Consider the following 20,113-nt stretch of genomic DNA (forward strand, 5'->3'; position numbering starts at 1 on the left):
GATTTTGTCAATGATTTCTTATGCTGATTCATCTTTGCTTGTCATCATATGACTGAATAAATGGTCTGAAAGTCAAAGAGCCATTTAAAATAGGAAACAATCAAAGAACTGTGGGAAAAAAATTTCCAAACTCAATTTTTTTCAGTTTTTCTCTGAACACATTAAGAGATGTAATAGGAAACGTGACACTTATAAATCACCTCAAATACTGAAATGTATATCCAGTTCTTTGTGATGATTAAGTAGGGAGATATGTCAAGATCGGAGCAATGGGTGAAAAGGAAAAGAAATAAAATGAAAAGGATCAGGTAAAGGGAAGGTGGGGTGGGAGGGAGGGAGTGAATGAACAGACACTGTCTCGGGAATTGAATGTTAAGGGAGGGTCCAGAGATGGACAATCACACGGGAGTGTGGGTCATAGAGTCTCAGGATCAGGAGAGACTTTATGGGGATCCATGCAATATTCTGCTTTTTATTTGAGCACATGTAAGTTGCTGCTTGAGCACATGTAAGTTGCTACTTGAGCACATGTAAGTTGCTACTTGAGTACGTGTAAGTTGCTTTTTGTTATTTCTCTTTTAACAAGCTCAGTAGCTCTTTAGTCATGTGTTCCAACTCCTGAACTTTTGTCATACCACTTTTAAAAGTTTTGCCCTGAAAGCTGTGGCTGCCAGCCAGATGTGGGTAGGCATAAAAATCGGATTTTGTTGCCATTATCTCAGTGACCAGAGAGAACATTATTGTCTTGTGGGTACTGAGTAAAACTGGATTCCTTATGTGGAATGAAGAATAGAAAGCATATGAATTACCTTTCCATGTTGCCATCTTTTTTTATTTTTATTTTTATTTTTTTTTGAGACAGAGCCTTGCTCTGTCGCCCAGGCTGGAGCGCAGTGGCACCATTTCGACTCACTGCAACCTCTGCCTCCCGGGTTCAAACAATTCTCCTGCCTCAGCCTCCTGAGTAGCTGAGATTACAGACGCCCACCTCCACGCCCAGATAATTTTGGTATTTTTAGTAGAGATGGGGTTTCACCATGTTGGCCAGGCTGGTCTTGAACTCCTGACCCATGATCTGCCCGCCTCAGCCTCCCAAAGTGTTGGGATTACAGGCGTGAGCCACCACACCCGGCCTCCATGTTGCCATCTTTAGTCCTGGATAATAACTGGTTAGTTCCTAGGTTTTTGAGACTCTTAATATAATGAAGATGTTTAGTTTTTTGAAGTCCTTGCATTTCTCATTAGGAAGTCATACCCAACAAATAAAGTGCTACCGTGTGGAAGTGTTTCTCCACCTTATTCAGCAAATATTTAGAAAGCAACAAGTCTGCCACGCAAGGCGGTGTGTATGCCAAGTGCTGAGCCAGCTGAGCAGGATTTCTGTGCTGCAGAAGCTCACCACCCAGGGGGAGGCAAGCATCATACTCACAGTGCATTCGCTGCTCAGACCGTGTCTTAGTGCCAAGAAGAAGTGCTTGCTAGGAATTAAATGGTGGGAGGTTTCCATAAGGAAGTGGCCGTTAAGGACAGGTGAAAGGTAGCAGCACCAAAAGGGGTAAACACACTTCTCAGATAAGAGGACAAGATGTGCCAGGTTCCGAGAGACAGGAGAAAGTTTGGCTTTTTTTTTTTTTTTTTTTTTTTAATTGAGATGGAGTTTCGCTCTTGTCACCCAGGCTGGAGTGCAATGGTACAATCTCGGCTCACTGCAGCCTCTGCCTCCCGGGTTCAAGCAATTCTCCTGCCTCAGCCTCCCAAGTAGCTGAGATTACAGGCACCTGCCACCATGCCCAGCTAACTTTTGTATTTTTAGTAGAGACAGGGTTTCACCATGTTGGCCAGGCTGGTATCAAACTCCTGACCTCAGGTGATCTACTTGCCTCAGCCTCCCAAAGTGCTGGAATTACAGGTGTGAGCCACCACACCCGGCCAAGTTTGGCATTTTTGAGAAACATAAAGGTGGCCAGAGTGACCAGACTGTAGCGAATGGGGAAGACGTGACATGGGGCGGGACTGCAGAGGATGGGATCACGCCTTACAGGAGGACATGGTGAGGGTTTGGACTTTATCCCTAAGAGCAGAGGAAAGCCAGCATTTTAACAGAGGGAGACATGATCAGATATGTTCAAAATTGTATGAATAAAGGACTCATGGGTGGGGCCATGGTAGAAGTGAGAGGCCAGTTACACAGAGATGGGAACAATTTCAGTGAGATGCAACGAGGACCTGAAGATGGAGAAAAATCGGCGTCCATGGTAGATCCTGGAGGGAGAGTATCAGGGCTTGGTAACTGAGTGGATGTGGGCGTATGAAGAAGAGAGAGAGGTCTCATGGTCTCAACCCCAAGTGACTGTTGAATCCATGGGAGCTGCTGTGATCACCTGGGGAGAAAATGCAGGGTGAGAAGACATATGGCTTTTGAATCAGGAACCCTGGGAACTGCAGCATTTCCTGCTCTACCAGGAGGAGGACCCAGCAAAGAGGGCAGAGCAGTAGAGAATGGTACTGTAAATCCACGCACTTGCTCCTCTAAATCCCAGACACCATTCTTTATTCTTTCCTTTCCATACCCGCCATGTCCAGGCTGTCAGTAAGCCCTGCTGACTCTTCCTCCAAAGAATTTCCATTTGGCTTCAACATTTACCACCCTAGTCTAAGCAGCTGTCAGCTCTTTCTGAACACAGTGGCTCCTATCACATCTTCCACCCCAAACCCTTCCCTCCTCCTTCCTCTTCCCTTCTCTGCAAGCGCAGGAGCCAATGTTTAAATTGGAAATCCAGTAACTCACTCTCCTGCCTAATCCTGCTCCGGGATTCCCTTTGTAGAATAAAATCTGAACTCCTTATCTTGGCCCTTGGAACACTATGATGTGTCTTCTACCTGCATCTCTGAGCTTAGCTCTGGGCTTCCTTCCCCTCTGTCATCATTCTTCAGCTGTGCTCACCTGGTACTGAGCATGCCCAGCTCACACTCCTCTTGGGCCATTGTGCTTGCTCTATCCTCCGCAGGGAATGCTCTTACCCAGCATTTCAAGCCAGCACCCTGTTCGGTTCTCAGCTCAGATGTCACCTTTTCAGGAGGCTTTCTTGACCACCTAATGTGTCTGCTTCCTCCCTCACCCTAATCCCATCTCCCTATTTTATTTTCTTCATAGCACATATTAGTATCTGAAATCACTGTGATCATTTATTTCCATCATTGTGATGGGAGCAGGGATCTTGTGTCCCCATAAGCTCCGTTCTCCGTGCCTAAAAAAGAGCCTGCCCCAGCAGGGCAATGGTACAAGTAGATGTGTGTCATGAATGGATGGTCTGTGAATATTTTAGGCACAGAACTTGCCTACCACACTAGCATGCCCTTCCTTTTCTGTAACAGGCAATTCTGAGGTTAAGCTCTGGAATCTGACGACCCAAGGGTGAAGCCCAGTTCTGTCACTTCCTAATTTAACCTGAGCTTGGGCAAGTTAATTACCTCATAAGCCTTAGCTTCTTCATTTGGAAAATGGTAAGAATCATAATAATTCCCTACCCAGCAGGGTTGTTTGAGAGGTCAGTGAGGTAAAGCACGTACATGCCTTGTGCAATGTTAACTTAAGTAAATATTAAAGAAGTGTAACCTGATGCTGTTAGCAGTGGCCCGCTATTAGACTGGAGTGGCTGTTGAGAACCACTGAGACCCAAGCATCAAGCCTTGGCTGTGTGTCTGTTTGGGGCTGAACCACAGAAGAGCTGGTTGCCTGGGGCTGGAATTAGAGGACAGTAGACAAGAATTTTCCAAGATAGGGAATATATGAGAGAGAGAGAGAGAGAGAGAGAGAGAGAGAGAGAGAGAGAGGAGAGAGAGAGAGAGTGTGTGTGTGTGTGTGTGTGTGTGTGTGTGTGTGTGTGTGTGTGTTTGGAGGAATGGAGTGGATATTAGAATGAGGCTTATTGTCTGGGTCATCCTACAAACTGTGTTGCTTGTGCCCAAGATAGTTTTAGAGAGAATAGTCATCTCAGAAATGTCAGATTGACTATATCGAAACTCTGGGACAGTCTGTCTTTCCTTCCCTTAATTCTCAAGGTTCTATCTGCATTCTAGAGCTAGGGAGAAAAATTATTTCAGTAGCTCCTCTTTGGCTCTGAAAATCACTGGCAGCATGAAGTTTGCTAAGATCTTTTTACCTGGGCACTAATATTTACCAGGGATTGGGACTGGCTTTGTCAGTGTGGATCCTTGGTACTGGAGGGAAAAAGATTTTGGGAGCTTTTCTAGATTTTTGAGCAATTTAATTCTTCTAAGACTGGATATCCTTTTAAAAAATTTTTAATTAATTTATTTCAATAGGTTTTTGGGGAACAGGTGGTGTTGGTTACATGAGTAAGTTCTTTAGTGGTGATTTCTGATATTTTGGTGCACCCATCACCTGAGTAGTGTACACTGTACCCAATGTGTAATCTTTTATCCCTCACCCTCCTCCCACCCTTTCCCCTGAGTCCCCAGAGTCCATTGTATCATTCTTATGCCTCTGTAGAAGACTGGATATCATTATACTTGAAATGGGGGCGACCAAAGTTTGAGGGAGAGAGCAAACAGTATCTTAGTTAGAGGCAATCTTAGGTTATATGAGATTGCTACAATGCCTGGCATCTCTTGAGCAGATAAAGTCCCTTCACCTTAGAGAATCTTTTTAGAAAGAGAAATCATTTGTAGTCTGTTGTGCGTTACAGTCCATTAACTTCTTCTTACGTACTGTCTTTGATTATGGGGTTGCTAACGCATTTCTTCCTTTCTCTTGTCATTTGGTGGCTTCCTTGTAATTTCTTGATTCTTTTGTTTTTTTTCTTTTTAATTTGAGACAGTCTCGTTCTGTCACCCAGGCTGGAGTGCAGTGGTGCCATCTCGGCTCACTGCAACCTCTGCCTCCCAGGTTCAAGCGATTCTCCTGCCTCAGCCTCCCGAGTAGCTGGGATTACAGGTGCATGCCACCATGCCTGGCTCATTTTTTGTATTTTTAGTAGAGATGGGGCTTCACCATGTTAGCCAGGATGGTCTCAATCTCTTGACCTCATGATCTGCCCACGTTGGCCTCCCAAAGCTCTGGGATTACAGGCGTGAGCCACGGTGCCCGGCCAATTTCTTGATTCTTAAAGCATTTACACAAATAAAAACTCATGTTGATTTTCACCAGCTTACCCCCACCTTGGAATCCAAGCTCTCAAATTCACCTTAACATCTCTCCTCTTAGAGTGACAGTTACACCATTGGTAGGGTACTTGAGTAAATACATTTTGTCATCTTCATTCAATGATCTGTGTAACCATTAAAATAAAAGAACAAGACAGTTCCATAGGTAGTGATAGGAAATGATATGAAAGGTATCTATCTCTATGTGAAAAGGAAAGCAAGGCACAGAGTGGTGTGTATATTTAGTATGCTAACGTGGGGAGAAATACTAAAAGTAGACGCACACACATGTATGTATAATTGAATCTGCTTAGAATATTTATGAAAGGATACACAAAATCTGGTCACTATTAGGGTCTTTGGTGAGGGGAATGAAGTGGTTGAGGGATGAGTGAGTGTGGGAGGGACTTTTTACTATAAATCCTCTAGCATCTTTTAGTTTTATTTATTTATTTATTTTTGAGACGGAGTCTCACTCTGTCACCCAGGCTGAAGTGCAGTGGCACAATCTCAGCTCACTGCAACCTCTGCCTCCCAGGTTCTAGCAATTCTCCTGCCTCAGCCTCCCAAGTAGCTGGGACTACAGGGGCGTGCCACCACACTTGGCTAATTTTTTTTTTTTTTTTTGTATTTTTAGAAGAGACGGGGTTTCACCATATTGGCCAGGCTGGTCTCAAACTCCTGACCTCATGATCTGCCCGCCTCAGCCTCCCAAAGTGCTGGGATTACTGGCAAATTAATTCTTTTCCTATAATAGATATGATAGAGAATGAGATAGGGCAGGAGGGAGAGGTTATGCTCCTTGTTAAAATTAAAAAGCATATCCCTTAAGAATTCACTTAATTCTGTCCTCTCTGCTACCTAAGAGGATGTCAAAATCATTAGTGCAGGTGTTAAATGACTCAAAATGATGAGAAAATGTAGCTTCCTTGGCTCAGGAGCAGGGTGCCTCCAGCCCTATAGCTTCAAACTGTGTTTTCCAGTCTGCACTTTGCAGAACAGTTGCCTGGCTGTCCCCTCTCCATCCTCCCTCCAAAAGTCCGATCAACCTCATGTTCCTCCAGTGGCCGGTCTTGTCCTGTTGATCTTGACCTTCGTTCATTTGGTCCCCCTTGGGCACAGTTTTCTGCTCCACTCACTGACAGGATAATCTGACTAGTCTTTTTCCATATTTGGAAAAACTCTACTTACCTTCTGGTAGATGTATTTCTTCAAAGGATGTCAACTCTTGGACTATCAGAAGTCCCCTTTACTATAGGCAAATCCTCTCTTCTTTGTCCAATTTCAGAAAGATTCAGAAATGCTGAAGTCTTGTCCTGATGGCAGGTCATGGGACTGTGAATGTTTATCACAAACCAGAATGGTCTTTTTATGTGAGCTCATCAATACTATGATCGTACCATCTGACATTCAAGACGAAGCATCTTCACTGACTTGTCACTGAGGTATTGTAGACACTTGCAGATCAAACCAGGTTTCTCAACCATGGCACTATTGCCATTTTGAGCCTAGTAATTCTTTGTTGGAGGAGACTGTTCTGTGCCTTGTAGGATGTTTAGCAACATCCCTGGCCTCTACCCATCAGATGCCAATAGCATCTCCCATGCTGTGCCAATCAGAAATGTCTCCAGATGTTGCCAAATGACCCCAGGAGGACAAAAATCACCCCTGGTTGAGAACCAATACCTTAAGTTATGCCCTCTCTGTGAGGCTACAACTGGAATATTATGCCTGCTTCTCTGAAAAACAGACTCTGTTTGTCTACACTTACATAACACTTCTGTGACCACATGTGTGGGGGGATTTTCTCCACACACCAAGCAGTTCCCCAACTCTCTGAACACCAGGTGTATGTCTTGCAATTTATTCTGACACTGTATACCTGGAGTTGGTGTCAGATCCCGCAGGTTAAGGGCTCAGTCCTACAAGACTGCCCCTACTTAAGATGTCAATTGCAAATCCAGCCTTCTGGTATTTCTCAACAACCAGCTATAAATTAGGGGTCCCACAACTCCCCTCCTCAGGTTTGATAATTTGCTAAAATGGCTCGAAGAACTCAGGGAAACACTTTAGTTGTATTTATCAGTTAGGATATTATAAAGGATACAAATGAACAGCCAGATGAAAAGAGTAAACTTAGGGCAAAGTATGATGATGTTTATTATTTATCTTCACCATTAGAAGTAAGTTCTGTGGCTGGGTGTGGTGGTTAACACCTGCAATCCCAGCACTTTGGGAGGCCAAAGCAGGAGGATTGCTTGAGCCGAGGAGTTCAAGACCAGCTTGGGAAACATAGTGAGACACCATCTCTACAAAAAATTTAGAAATAAAATTAGCCAGGCATGGGGGTGCATGCCTGTAGTTCTAGCTGCTCGGGAAGCTGAGGCAGGAGGATTGCTTGGGCTTAGGAGCTCGAGGCTTCAGTGAGCTATGATTGCAACACTGTGCTCTAGCCTGGGAGATAGGGCCAGACCTTGTATCAAAAAACAAAACAAAACAAACAAAAAAAACAGAAAAAAAGGAAAGAAGAAGAAAAGAGAAAAGAAAAATGTTCTATGAGAGCAGTGTCTAGTTTTGTTTATCACTGGTTTGGTGCCTGCCCTCCATAAATATTGGATTAGTAAATGAATTATAAGTGGAAACGCTCTATGTGTTAACACCAGGAGGCTCTGGGCTGGGTGTAGTTCAGTCACTTTCTTTTTGAAGAACTACCTTTGTAGCTACGTAGACTGGAAGACCTGAGAAGGTGCTAGTGGTTCTTACCTTGTTTTTGTTCTGTCTGTGTGTACTGGCTGGTCTTAGTTCAGAAAGGAGAGAGCTCTTTGATATTTAGCCTGGGGAACGGATCATGCTAAACTCCTATCACAGCTTGTCTCTCCCTCCCTGTAACATAAAATGTAGCATTTAAAAGTGTACAGTGGTTTTAACAGTTAGTCTATTTACCACCATTATCTAGTTCCAGAACGTTTCCATCATCCCCAAAGGGAACCCCATACCCATTAAGCAGTCCTTCCCTATTTTACTCACCCCTGCAGCCCTGTGACAAGCACTAATCTACTTTCTGTCTCTGTGAATTTGCTTATTCTGGATATTTCATTAAATAGATTTATATAATATGTGTCCTTTTGTGTCTAGGTTATTTCACTTAGCATGATGTCTTCAAGATTCATCTGTGTTGTACCATGCAGCATTCCCTTTTTCATGGCTGCATAATGTTCCATTTTATGGATATACCACATTTTGTCTGTCCATTTATTCATTGGTGGACATTTGAGTTGTTCCCACCTTTTGGCCTTTGTGAATAGTGTTGCTCTTCACATTTGTGTACCTCTTTTTTGAACATCTGTTTTCAGTTACTTTGGATATATACCCAGGAGTGGAATTGCTGTGCCATGTGATAATTCTGCTTAACTTATTGAGATACTAAGTACACCTTCACAGTGCTGCACCAGTTTAAACATCTACTAGTAATGCATGAAGGTTTATGCTCACCAATCCTTATTTTTTTTTTGCTTTGTTAAGCATTAATATTATTATAGCCATCTTAGTGAGTGTAAAGTGAGGTCTTGATTGGGGTTTTCCTAATGACTAATGAGGTTAATTATCTTTTCATGTGCTCTTTGGCCATCTATCTTTTTTGGAGTGTGTCTTTATTTTCATGCTTACTCTTTCTGGGTTATAATTGCATGTGAACACTTTTCTGTCTCTTTTTTGACCATAGCTGCCTCATTTCTTTTTTTTTTTTTTTTTTTTTGGAGATGGAGTTTCACTCTTGTGGCCCAGGCTGGAGTGCAGTGGCACAATCTCGGCTCACTGCAACCTCTGCCTCCCGGGTTCAAGCCATTCTGCTGCCTCAGCCTCCCAAGTAGCTGGAATTACAGGCATGCACCACCACACCCAGTTAATTTTTATGTTATTAGTAGAGACGGGCTTTCACCATGTTGGCCAGGTCGGTCTCGAACTCCTGACCTCAGGTGATCCACCCGCCTCGGCCTCTGCCTCATGTAAAGTGCTGGGATTACAGGTGTGAGCCACCACGCCCAGCCACTGCCTCATTTTTAAAATAAGGCTAATACACTCCTTAAGAGACATATTATTTTTGGAAATTAAGGCATTGCTCAAATCTTTGTTAACATCATTTTAAATTTTTCTCATTTTTCCTTCTTGCCATCCTACCTCATTTTAAAATGCAGCATGTAAGCCTTAGGCTTATTTCCCAAAGTGGCAAATATAATTCAGTTCTCGTTTTCTGAATTTTGACATCTCTAAGTCTAACCCATCATGGTGCACTATGAATTTCTATGTTTAAACCTATTTTAAAGTTAGCTTGTTTCATAGTTAATATAATACCTTGGCAAGTATTTGACTTTTTGCTATTTTAGATTCAACAGATGAATATGGAAAGTAGCTTTCATTACAGCATTTGCTTTCTTTTCAGAAAAAGTTGCCTTTGACAACACTGGCTCAGTGTCTGATGGAGGGGTCAGCTATCCTGGGAGATGACACACTTCTTGGGTAAGGTGACACCTTGCGTGAGTTTGGTGCCAAATCTAAGTAAGTCCCCATCCGTGAAAAGGGGACTAGACCCTCTCAGGGAAGCACCTGAATTCTCACTGGGGACTTTAGTGGAAAAAAGGAAAATGTTACCAGTAGGAAATCAGAACTCTTGGCTCTAAAGTCATATTGTCTGTGCGGTGAGGCAAGGCCCAAGTGGAGAGATTAACATGAAACTGATGAAGGACAATTGAAATCCCTAGGGCCCTAGCAGAAGCAAATATGAAACCTGTCAATTCAAATGTCAGAACTTACGAGATTCTCAGAAAAGCAGCCTTTGCCGATGTTGAGCTCACAACAAAACAAACTGAAAATAGAATCGTCATGAGAGAGCATCAGCAGACACAATCAGTAGAAGAGTCAGTACCCTGAGAACGAAAAATAATAGAACTATATGGAAGAAAATATAACAATTATTTAAATGGAAATTTTAAAATTAAAAAACAGAATCCTTGACAAGAGAATCAAACAATATTAAAAAAGAATAGGCGGGATTGAAGGCAAACCAAAGAGAACTTTCCAAAATTATGCTGAAAATTTTCAATGATCTTTAGTCAAAAGAAACTCAAGATTATACACAAATAAATAATTGCTGAACTTGAAAACAGATGTAGAGCCGCCACCCAGAATGAAGGGAATGAAGTGCAGAGATAAGGAGGTAGGCATTCTTAAACTGAGAAACATGGGTGATAGAATGCAAAAGCTTAACATTCCATCTAGTGGGAATTCCTGAGGAAGAAAATAGGGAGAAAGGTAAGTTTGTGGTTGAATTTTTCTTTTCCAGATTTAAAGAAAAACATGTCTTTGGATTTAAGGAGCACAAAATGATTTGATTGAGATCAACAAGAAAAAAATGCATCCCTGGACATATTGTAGTAAGACCACAGATTATCAACAAAAAATAGAAAAATGTAAAATTGACCAGAGGGAAAAAAGATCATTACTATAAAATAGCAATTAAACTGTTAACAAACTATGTATTCGTCAGCCACAATGAATGCCAGAAGATAATGGAGTAATATCTTCAAGTATTGAGCGAAAATGTAAGAAACCTAGTATTCTATGATAAAATAGGGAAGAGTAAGGATATTTTCAGGCAGATTTGAAGAAGATACTACCTGCATATTCTCACTGAAAGGACTAGTTAAGGCTACATGAAATAGATTACATCTCTTTCACAGAAACAGAAGAAAGATGAGAAGTACAAGTACCAAGGTAGGAAAAAGATTGTGTTGTAGGGGAGGAAACTTTTTTTTTTTTTTTTTTCCTCTCTCTAAACATCTTAGGTTCTTTGGTTGGGCCCTGAAAGTTAGATTGACAAAAGGTAGATTAACAGGAGAAAAGCAAATAAATTTTATTAAAATGTGTAGTACATACACATGGAAGAACTCAGGGATGAGTAGATCAAAGGATAGAACATGGGCTTATGTAGCCTTTTTTTTTTTTTTTTTTTTGAGATAGATTCTTGCTCTGTCACCCAGGCTGGAGTGCAATGACGCAATCTCAGCTCACTGCAACCTCTGCATCCCGGGTGCAAGGGATTCTGCCTCCACCTCCCGAGTAGCTGGGATTATAGGCGGGTGCCACCACGCCGGGCTAATTTTTGTATATTTAGTAGAGACAGGGTTTCACCATGCTGGCCAGACTGGTCATGAACTCCTGACCTCAAGTGATCCACCCTCCTCGGCCTCCCAAAGTACTGGGATTACAGGAGTGCTTATGTAGCATTTTAACAAAGAATGATATTTTTTTAGAGAAGTGACAAGACAAAAGAGAAGGACTTTTACGTTTCTGTGGTGGCAGAATCAGTATTTCAAGCTCCTGTATTGTTTGAAAGGAGGATAAAGGTATTACATTTAAATTTAACATCCAAAAAATAAAAAAATAAAATAAATTTAGTGTCAAATATGCATGTTATAAAACTAAGACTAACCACAAAAAGAATAGAAATAGGATATATAACTTTCAAACTAACAAAGGATGAAAAGGAAAATAAAAAAAAATACATGGAAGGGACTACAAGAGAAAAAAGTAACCAAAAAAAAAAAAAAACCACATAATAATTGGAAAACAGAAAATGAGGGTGGTAGCAATCATTGCATATATCTCTGCAATCATAGGAGATGTAAATGGAATAAACTCAACTGTTCAAAGAAAATTTCAGGTTGACAGACATGAAATCCTGTTGTATGGTATTTCCAAGAGTCATGCCTATAATATAATGACAGAGTAACGTTGGAAATAAAGATGACAGATTGAACATGCATCTGATTTTCTCTCCTTCCAAAATCCGCTAAAACTACAATATGGAGATTTTTTTTTTTCCTTAAAAGACATAAACCCACAATGGCAGGAAAAAGCAGACAACAGCAACACAGTTTTGTGAGCTGTAAAGCATATGAATGACTGGGAACTAACTTGGCAAGTCCCCAAAAGCTGACTCCCAAGCCAGAAGTAGATATGCAAAGATCCCATGTAAATTACATCACGTAATGCTTACAGTGCTCAAGAATTGGCACCAGGGATCTCTGGAATAGTGGGTCTTTGGGGGTGGAGTGGGTGATTAAACTCACGAATGTGGTTGAAAGCTTTTCAGTTACCACTTGGATCACTAAACTCTGCCCCAACCACATGTCTAGGAACCTGTCATCCCCCGACTCCCGCCTGAGCAGAATTCTCTAGAGGGGATAAGAGAGCATCTCTAGAATGGGGGACTCCCGGTGCAGTGGAGTGTATGGGTACCATTCAGTAAAGAAGAGGCTCGAGTGATCTAATGTGTACTGGATGTGGATGCTAATACTCCACAGCCGTCTTCTTCCACTCATGCAGCCCCCCAGGACTTTACCCTCTAAGCAGGAAATTAGAAGAGGTTTCTCAGGAGAATCAGGTTAGTCCAAAAGGAAGGACCTAAAGATCTGAGGATGTTGGAGGGGGTCAGTGCCTCAATAAGTGACGCAACCACGTCTTTCTACAGATGAATTCACATACTCTGAACTTTTTAGTCTCCACTCTTGAATATAGAGAGGCACCAAAGATCATCAGACATCTGAGGAAAGTCTCTAACCTGAAACCTGGAGACCAAAACAATTGGGTGGATACAATGCAGCTTGGAAGAAACAGATTGTGTAGGGGAGGAAAAAAGGTTAGGAGAACAATCACTTGTGTTTTCAAATGGTAAGGGAAGATAACATGTCCATGAAATGAAAAACAGGATGTTAATACAAAATATTTATGGGAAAGAAATAGCCAGAGATCAAAAGCAAGCTTGTAGAAATGAGAAAATATGATAGAAGATATGAAATTCTCAGGAGGTTGGGAAGATAAATATGAAGAAATCCTCATACACTCAGACAATAGAACACACAGACAGTAGAAAAAATTAGAAAATTAAAAAATTAGAAAATTTTAGAAAATTAGAAAAAATTGGAAAATTAGAGGATCAATCCAGGAAGTCTTATGCCCGAAAAACAGGAGTTCTTAGAAAAGAAGAGGAAGAAATAATAATAAATAATCCAACAGCATATTCCGGATCTTGAGGACATGAGTTTCTATACTGAAAAGGCCCATTGAGCTCCAATACAATGGGAAGAATTAAGCGTATGCCACAGAGCTCACCATCATGTATACTGGTGACAAAGAGTCTACAACCTTCTAGAGAGAAAACATGTCACATACAAAGGATCAGAAATGCGAATGCTTCCAGACTGAGCAAAAGCAGCAATGGAAGAAAGAAGGTTATTAAGCAGTGCCTTTAAAATTCTGAAGGAAACCATGCTCAGCCTAGGAGTTCAATATTCTGCCCAAGTTTCAATCAACGAGAGGGCAGAGGAGAATACCGTGACATACGTGGCCTCAGAAATTGACTTCCCACCTATTCTTTCTCAGCAAGCTAAAGCAAGACAGCAAGATGTGTCCTTGGTGAGGAAGTGACCAAAAGAAAGGTAGACTCAAGATAACAGAATGTCCAATACAAGACAGAGGAAGAGAATCCCAGGGAATGGTGAAGGAAGATTCCAGGAAGACAGATGTGCCTTAGGGATACAGGAAAACTCAATCCGCATTGAGACAGGTCCAGGAGGGATTAATTCAAGAAGATGAAATTCATTTACATGATGTGTGGTTCAATATTTTTTGGTAATATTTTTATTTTAATATATAACAGAAGAAAAAAATTAGCACACAAAACTCATAAATGTGATGTTTATCACTGCTTAGGATGAGGTTTAATTTTTTTTTAATCAAGTTAAGCAAATTTTGGTTCAATATCTTAACAGACAAACTAGGAAAGTGGCAGAGTATTTTGAATTCGATTGGGTACGTAGAAAACAAGCAAGCCAAAACAAGGCAATTATTAACTCCAGGGAGAACAAATAAGTGTGCAGGGAAACCAGTAATTATAGTATACTACCCAGATTAACTCCAAATAATATGGAGTCAAAGTGTAATATAAATAATAAGCATTTATTAATATGAATAAAGGGAGGGAGGGGAAATGGAAACGGAAACATAGCTAAATTCTCATTTTCTGTAATGTTAATAGCTAATATTTAAATTTTTTTAATTAAGTAGTATTAGAAATATGGAATAAATACCAGAAAATCAGATATAAGACACCATTAAGCTGGGTGCAGTGGCTCACGCCTGTAATCCTAACACTTTGGGAGGCCGAGGCAGGTGGATTACCTGGGCTCACGCCTGTAATCCTAACACTTTGGGAGGCCGAGGCAGGTGGATTACCTGAGGTCCAGAGTTCAAGACTAGCCTGGCCAACATGGTGAAACCCTGTCTCTACTAAAAATATAAAAAATTAGCTGGGTGCAGTGGTGCACACCTGTAATCCCAGCCACTCGGGAGGCTGAAGCAAGAGAATTGCTTGCACCCGGGAGGTGGAGTTTGTGGTGAGCCAAGTACGCGTCACTGCACTCCAGCCTGGGTGATAGAGTGAGATTTTGTCTCAAAAAAAAAAAAAAAAAAAAAAGGCACCATTAAAGACATACAAAGATAAAAGCACACCTGGGCACTGACATTTGTAGCAGATAGGAAAAAGAGTGAAAATCTGCCTTCACACACGTGTGTATATGAAGTTCCTACAAATAAATTCAAATAAATAGATCCTAATACAAAAATAGCCAAGGAATATGAACAGGCACTTCATGGGAGAGGGATATTAAGTCTTACTAGCAGTCAAGGAATGTAAATTAAAACCAGAAGGAGATAATAATTTGTATCCACCAGTTTAACAGAAATTAAGACACCTACCAGGACCAAGGGTTGGCAAGGGCATAGGGCAATGGGAACTCCCATTTGTGCTAGTGAAATTTCCAAACATGCACAAAGAGACTGCACAAGCATATTTACTGAAGCGCTGCATGTAATAGCCAAAAACTCTTGTTTGTGGGACAGCTTAACATAATGGTGGTATATTCAAAGAACGAAATTCTCCATTGCAAAATGATCTGATTCCGCATGTACCAACATGGGTAAGCTCCAGACATAATGATAGAGTAAAAAAGCAAGGCTGCCTGTAGTCCCAGCACTTTGGGAGGCCGAGGTGGGTGGATCACCTGAGGTCAGGAGTTCGAGACCAGTCTGGCCAACATGGTGAAACCCCATGTCTACTAAAAATACAAAAAATTAGCCGGGTGTGGTGGCAGCCTCCTGTAATCCCAGCTACTCAGGAGGCTGAGGCAGGAGAATGGCTTGAACCCAGGAGGCGGAGGTTGCAGTGAGCCAAGATCGTGCCACTGTACTCCAGCCTAGGCAACAAGAGTGAAACTCCATCTCAAGAAAAAAAAAAAAAAACCTCAAAAAAAAAATCCAAACAAAAAAAGCAAGTAGCATCAGGATATGCTCAGTATAAAACCATGCATGTAGACTGAACTAAGCAAAGCAGCAGTATTATATATTGTATGGGGACACATACATGTAGAGTAAAAATGTGAAAATCTGAACAGGAAAGGAATATCCTCACAGTAAAAAGGCAGTTACCTCTGCTCATACGTTTGTTGACTTGTAAAAGCTTTTTTGTTTGTTTATGTGTTTTTGAGACAGGGTCTCGCTCTGTCACCCCGGCTGGAGTGCAGTGGCACTATCTAGGCTCACTACAGCCTCTGCCTCCCAGGTACAAGTGATTCTCGTGCCTCAGCCTCCAGAGAAGCTGGGTCTACAGGCATGTACCACCATGCCCAGCTGAGTTTGATATTTTTAGTAGAGGCGGGGTTTCACCATGTTGCCCAGGCTGGTTTGTAATAACTTTTTACTTGAGTTTTAGTTAAAATGGGTACCAGACAATGGGAGAATGGCCTGTGTACAATTTGGGTAGAATTTAACATCTTTGAAATAGTATATTGTGTCATCTGGGAAGATGGCATGACTTTCTACTCATTCAGGTCTTCTGTCGTTTGCTCATTATTAATCAACTTTTGGATTTTTTTTCATTGGATAATTGTCTATATATCCATGTACTAATTACATTTTCGTGGCTTAGGAGTCAGGGCTTTCTTTCTATCAGGACCTATTGAAATTGAGCTTTTGCTTTGTATTTGAAGATGATGTTTTTTTAGCGGGCAGATTTTAGCTATCCAATGTTCTCCTCAGAGATAGAAGCATGTGTTTATAGGCATGTGTGTCTGTTTTCTCTCTCATGTTTCCCCACATTTCCCCTTGTGCCCCAGGCACACAATGAGTGGCACCTTTTGGAAGAATTGATTATTTCAGAAATGCAGAGAGCTGGAACAGGTTGGCCCAGGGGAAGCCATGGAGATCAGCCAGCTTATTAACACTGACTTGTGAAAGTTTACAAGTGAGCCAGGAGGTGAGGGGAGGGTAACGCCAGTGAAATGTTGTCTTCAAGAGTATTCACTATTTCTTTCCCCCTTGGATTACAGGAAGATGCTGAAACTCTGTGGAGAGACGGAGGACAAGCTGGCTCAGGAGCTGATACATTTTGAGTTGCAAGTAGAGAGAGACGTGATTGAGCCCCTGTTTTTGCTGGCGGAGGTAAGCAGCAGGAGTGAGGCCAGGCCTGAAAGAGCAAGGAGGTACCGAACAGGAGCCCCTCAATCATTCTGTTTCCAGCATTCTACTTCTTTCCCTTAACCTTCTCCCCAACATTGTTTTTCATCAGGGATTCTTACCTAACCACATGGTCAAGATTCCCAAATATGTCCTTTTAGCATTTGCTACCCCTTCTCCTACCCATTCTCTTCCCTGCAGGCATTCCTAGAAGTAAGGTGGAAAGCTGGCAGCTTACCCGCTTCCCCACCCACAGCCTCGACTGCCTTCATCCCCACCTTCCACCCATCTCAAGTCTTCAGTGCTGTGAACAGCAGCCACTCCTTACTAGGATTCTGGGGGCCCAGGCCTCCTGCAGTTTTATGTTTTTTTTTTGAGATGGAGTCTTGCTCTGTCACCCAGGCTGGAGTGCAGTGGTACGATCATGGTTCACTGCAACCTCCGCCTCCCAGGTTCAAGTGATTCTCCTGTCTCAAGCCTCCCAAGTAGCTGGGATTATAGGCACCCACCACCATGCCCATTTAATTATTATATTTTTAGTAGAGACGGGGTTTCACCATGTTGGCCAGGCTGGTCTCGAACTCCTGACCTCAGGCGATCCACCCGCCTTGGCCTCCCAAAGTGCTGGGATTATAGGCGTGAGCCATCGTGCCCAGCTGCAGTGTATGTTTATATGGGTCCCTTGTCTTTGGACTTTAAAGGACACTCAATTAAACTATTTTATTAAAAAGCAACCTTAATGCCTATGTGAAAACTTTGCTAGCTTCAGCCAAGTGAAAGCTTCTCACGGGAGATAGGAAATGCTTGGGGAGCTTTGAACCCTGAATCCCTCTCAGTTGTTTTTAATTCGTCATCTGTTAATAGATTGAGCATCTCAAACCTGAAACAATCCGAAATCTGAAATATTTTGAGCACCAACATGATTCTTAAAGGAAATGCTCATTAGAGCATTTTGGATTTCACATATTCGGATTTGAGATGCTCAACCGGTAAATATGATGCAAATATTCCAAAATCCCAAAAACTCCCAATCCCAAATATTTCTGGTCCCAAGCATTTCAGATAAGGGACACTCCATCTATATAAAATCTAACCAGCACTATCCCCTAGAACTCTGTATTAGTCAGGGTTCTCCAGAGAGAGAGAACCAACAGGATATATGAGAGGGGTTTCTCCCCTATTAGGGGAAGTTGGGATTCTCCCCTATTAGGGGAAGTTGGCTCACATAATCACAGAGGGGGAGAGGTCCCATGATAAGCCATCTGTAAGCTGGAGAACCAGAGAAGCCAGTAGCATGGCTCAGTCCAGAAACCTCAGAACCCGAAACTCAGTCCAGGAACCTCAGAAGCTGATCGTGCAGCCCCGAATATGAGGTGGAAAGCCAGAGAGACCCCCATTAAATGTCAAAGAACCTGGAGTCTGATGAGGGGAAAAGGCATCTCACTACGGGAGGGAGGGAGAGAGAGAGCAGAGAGAGAATCCTCCTTCTTCCACCTGTGTGTTTCAGCTAATTGGATGGTACCGCTCCATTGTGGGTGGGTCTTTCTCCCAGCCTGCTGACTCACACATTGGTCTCTTTTGGAAACACCCTCTCAGCTACACCCGGAAAAATACGTCACTAGCCTTTGAGGCATCCATCAGTCCAGCCAAGTTGACACCTAAAATTAACCCTCGCAGACTCCCTACAATGATGGAAATATTCTCAATCTGTGCCGTTTGATAGCCACTGCCCTTAAGTGGTTTTTGAGCACCAGTGCGATTCAGGAACTCAATTTTTTAGTTTCTTTAATTTTCGTTAATTTAAATTTAGAATTTCATAGCTACGTGCGGTTAGAGGCTACTGTATTAAACTGCCTTGCCCTAGACCCTGTCTGGCTTCCTCTCTGAACCACAACGAGCACCTCCACATCCCCTGACACTCTCTCTGGGACAGAGGTATGGGCCGGTAATTACTTATGGACCTGAAACTATTCAAGGAGAAAATCGTGGATGAAGTTCTTTGGGATTGACCAGCTCTCAGCTTCTCAAGTCATCTCCTCGCTTGGAGCATTCACGAGGTCCCCTCTGTGCCTCAAAAGGAGGGTCCCGGGTCTGGCCAAAGCCTAAAGCAAACCAAGGAGCAAGTCCGTTGTGGGTGCTGACAGTCACTTGGCTCAAGCAAGATACCCAGTGGCCCTCCAGCTTAGCTTCGGAGCTGGGTGGTGACTCAGGTTGCCTGGGGACAGTTACACTTCTCCTTCCTACTGGAAGTTGTTACACGCAGAACATTACTCATCCCTGCTCGGGAGAGTGAATAGAAAGCACTTCAGAGAACATTGGATTCTCCTCGAATTTTTTCCTTATATAAAAACCGCAGCCCGAGATGATTTTAGTTCAATTTTCGGCCAATTTTCGTTTTGCATTCTCACATCCTGCCCTACTTTTGCTGGGCCCGGAACCAAAATCCTGCACTGGGATGTTCAGTGAAGCCATTTTTAGAATGAAAAAATATAAAAAGAGCATCTACATACAACCAAAATGGAAGAACTCGTAGCCGAGAAAAGCCATGATGGCAATGTTTATTCATTATTGACTGGAAAAGTCTTACTTTATTTCTATAAATATAAACATTTGCTTCCTTTCTTTTTATAAATATAGAATCTGTATCCTAGATGCAGCCATAGCCTCTCCACGCTCTTCCTCCTTCAGCTGTCCATTTTGCCTCAGGTCTGTGTCAGACATGACTGCGTGGCTCCCTTCATTTCTCCCCACTTTTGGCCCTTCTGGAAGTAAAGAGGGATGTGGTTGAGCCCTGGTTTTTTTTTGGCAGGGCGGGAGTTGGGGGCAAGGTGAGGGCAGGAAAGTGGCCAGGCCTGCATGAGCAGAGAAGCACAGGACCTGTGAGATGGTCTGGCTTGATGGAGAGCCTGGCTGGTGTCCAGCAAAGATGGAGCAGAGTTTAGCTCAGGAAAGGGCATCAATAATTTCATCTGATGTTGGTCAAAGGGTACAAAGTCTCCCTTAAGCAAGATGAGTAAATTCTGGAGACCTGATGTGTAGCACTGTGTGACGATGGTTAATGATACTGTATTGTAGACTTGAAATTTGCTAAGAGGATAGATCTTCAGCGTACTCACCATCAAAAAAAGAAAATAGAAACTATGGGATGTGATGGATATGTTAATTAGCCTGAGTGTAGTAATGATTTCACAATGTGTGCATATGAAACCATTAAACCGTACACCTGAAATATATACAATTCCTATTAGTTAGACCTCAGTAACACAAAAGGGAAAAAAGGATTTCATCTGAAAATAAGGATTGCGAGACCGCTAGTAAACTTGTTGGGTGACTTCCAATAGTTCTTTAAGAATAGTTCTTCTTTTTTTTTTTTTTTTGA

At 42.2% G+C, this 20,113-nt stretch overlaps 1 protein-coding gene and 1 non-coding gene across 10 annotated transcripts in view; one reads left to right on the top strand and one right to left on the bottom strand.

Annotated features, from left to right (window-relative positions):
* The window catches only part of ARHGAP44 (Rho GTPase activating protein 44), a 202,146-nt gene that overhangs the window by 109,795 nt on the left and 72,238 nt on the right, over nucleotides 1-20,113 (top strand). For all 9 annotated transcript variants that reach the window (NR_135569.2, NM_001321167.2, NM_014859.6 and 6 more), the window contains exons 4-5: nucleotides 9,605-9,681; nucleotides 16,608-16,719. Coding sequence is in view for 7 of the 9 variants with exons in the window: in NM_001321167.2 (NP_001308096.1) it covers nucleotides 9,605-9,681; nucleotides 16,608-16,719 (189 nt within the window). In the remaining 2 variants the exon portion in view is untranslated. The remainder of the gene's footprint in view (nucleotides 1-9,604; nucleotides 9,682-16,607; nucleotides 16,720-20,113) is intronic.
* On the bottom strand, nucleotides 17,976-18,050 carry MIR1269B (microRNA 1269b). The gene has a single exon (NR_039747.1). It is a non-coding gene; the product is annotated as a microRNA 1269b (primary transcript).

This window comes from Homo sapiens, chromosome 17, assembly GCF_000001405.40.
Source record: "Homo sapiens chromosome 17, GRCh38.p14 Primary Assembly".
Taxonomy (NCBI): domain Eukaryota; kingdom Metazoa; phylum Chordata; class Mammalia; order Primates; family Hominidae; genus Homo; species Homo sapiens.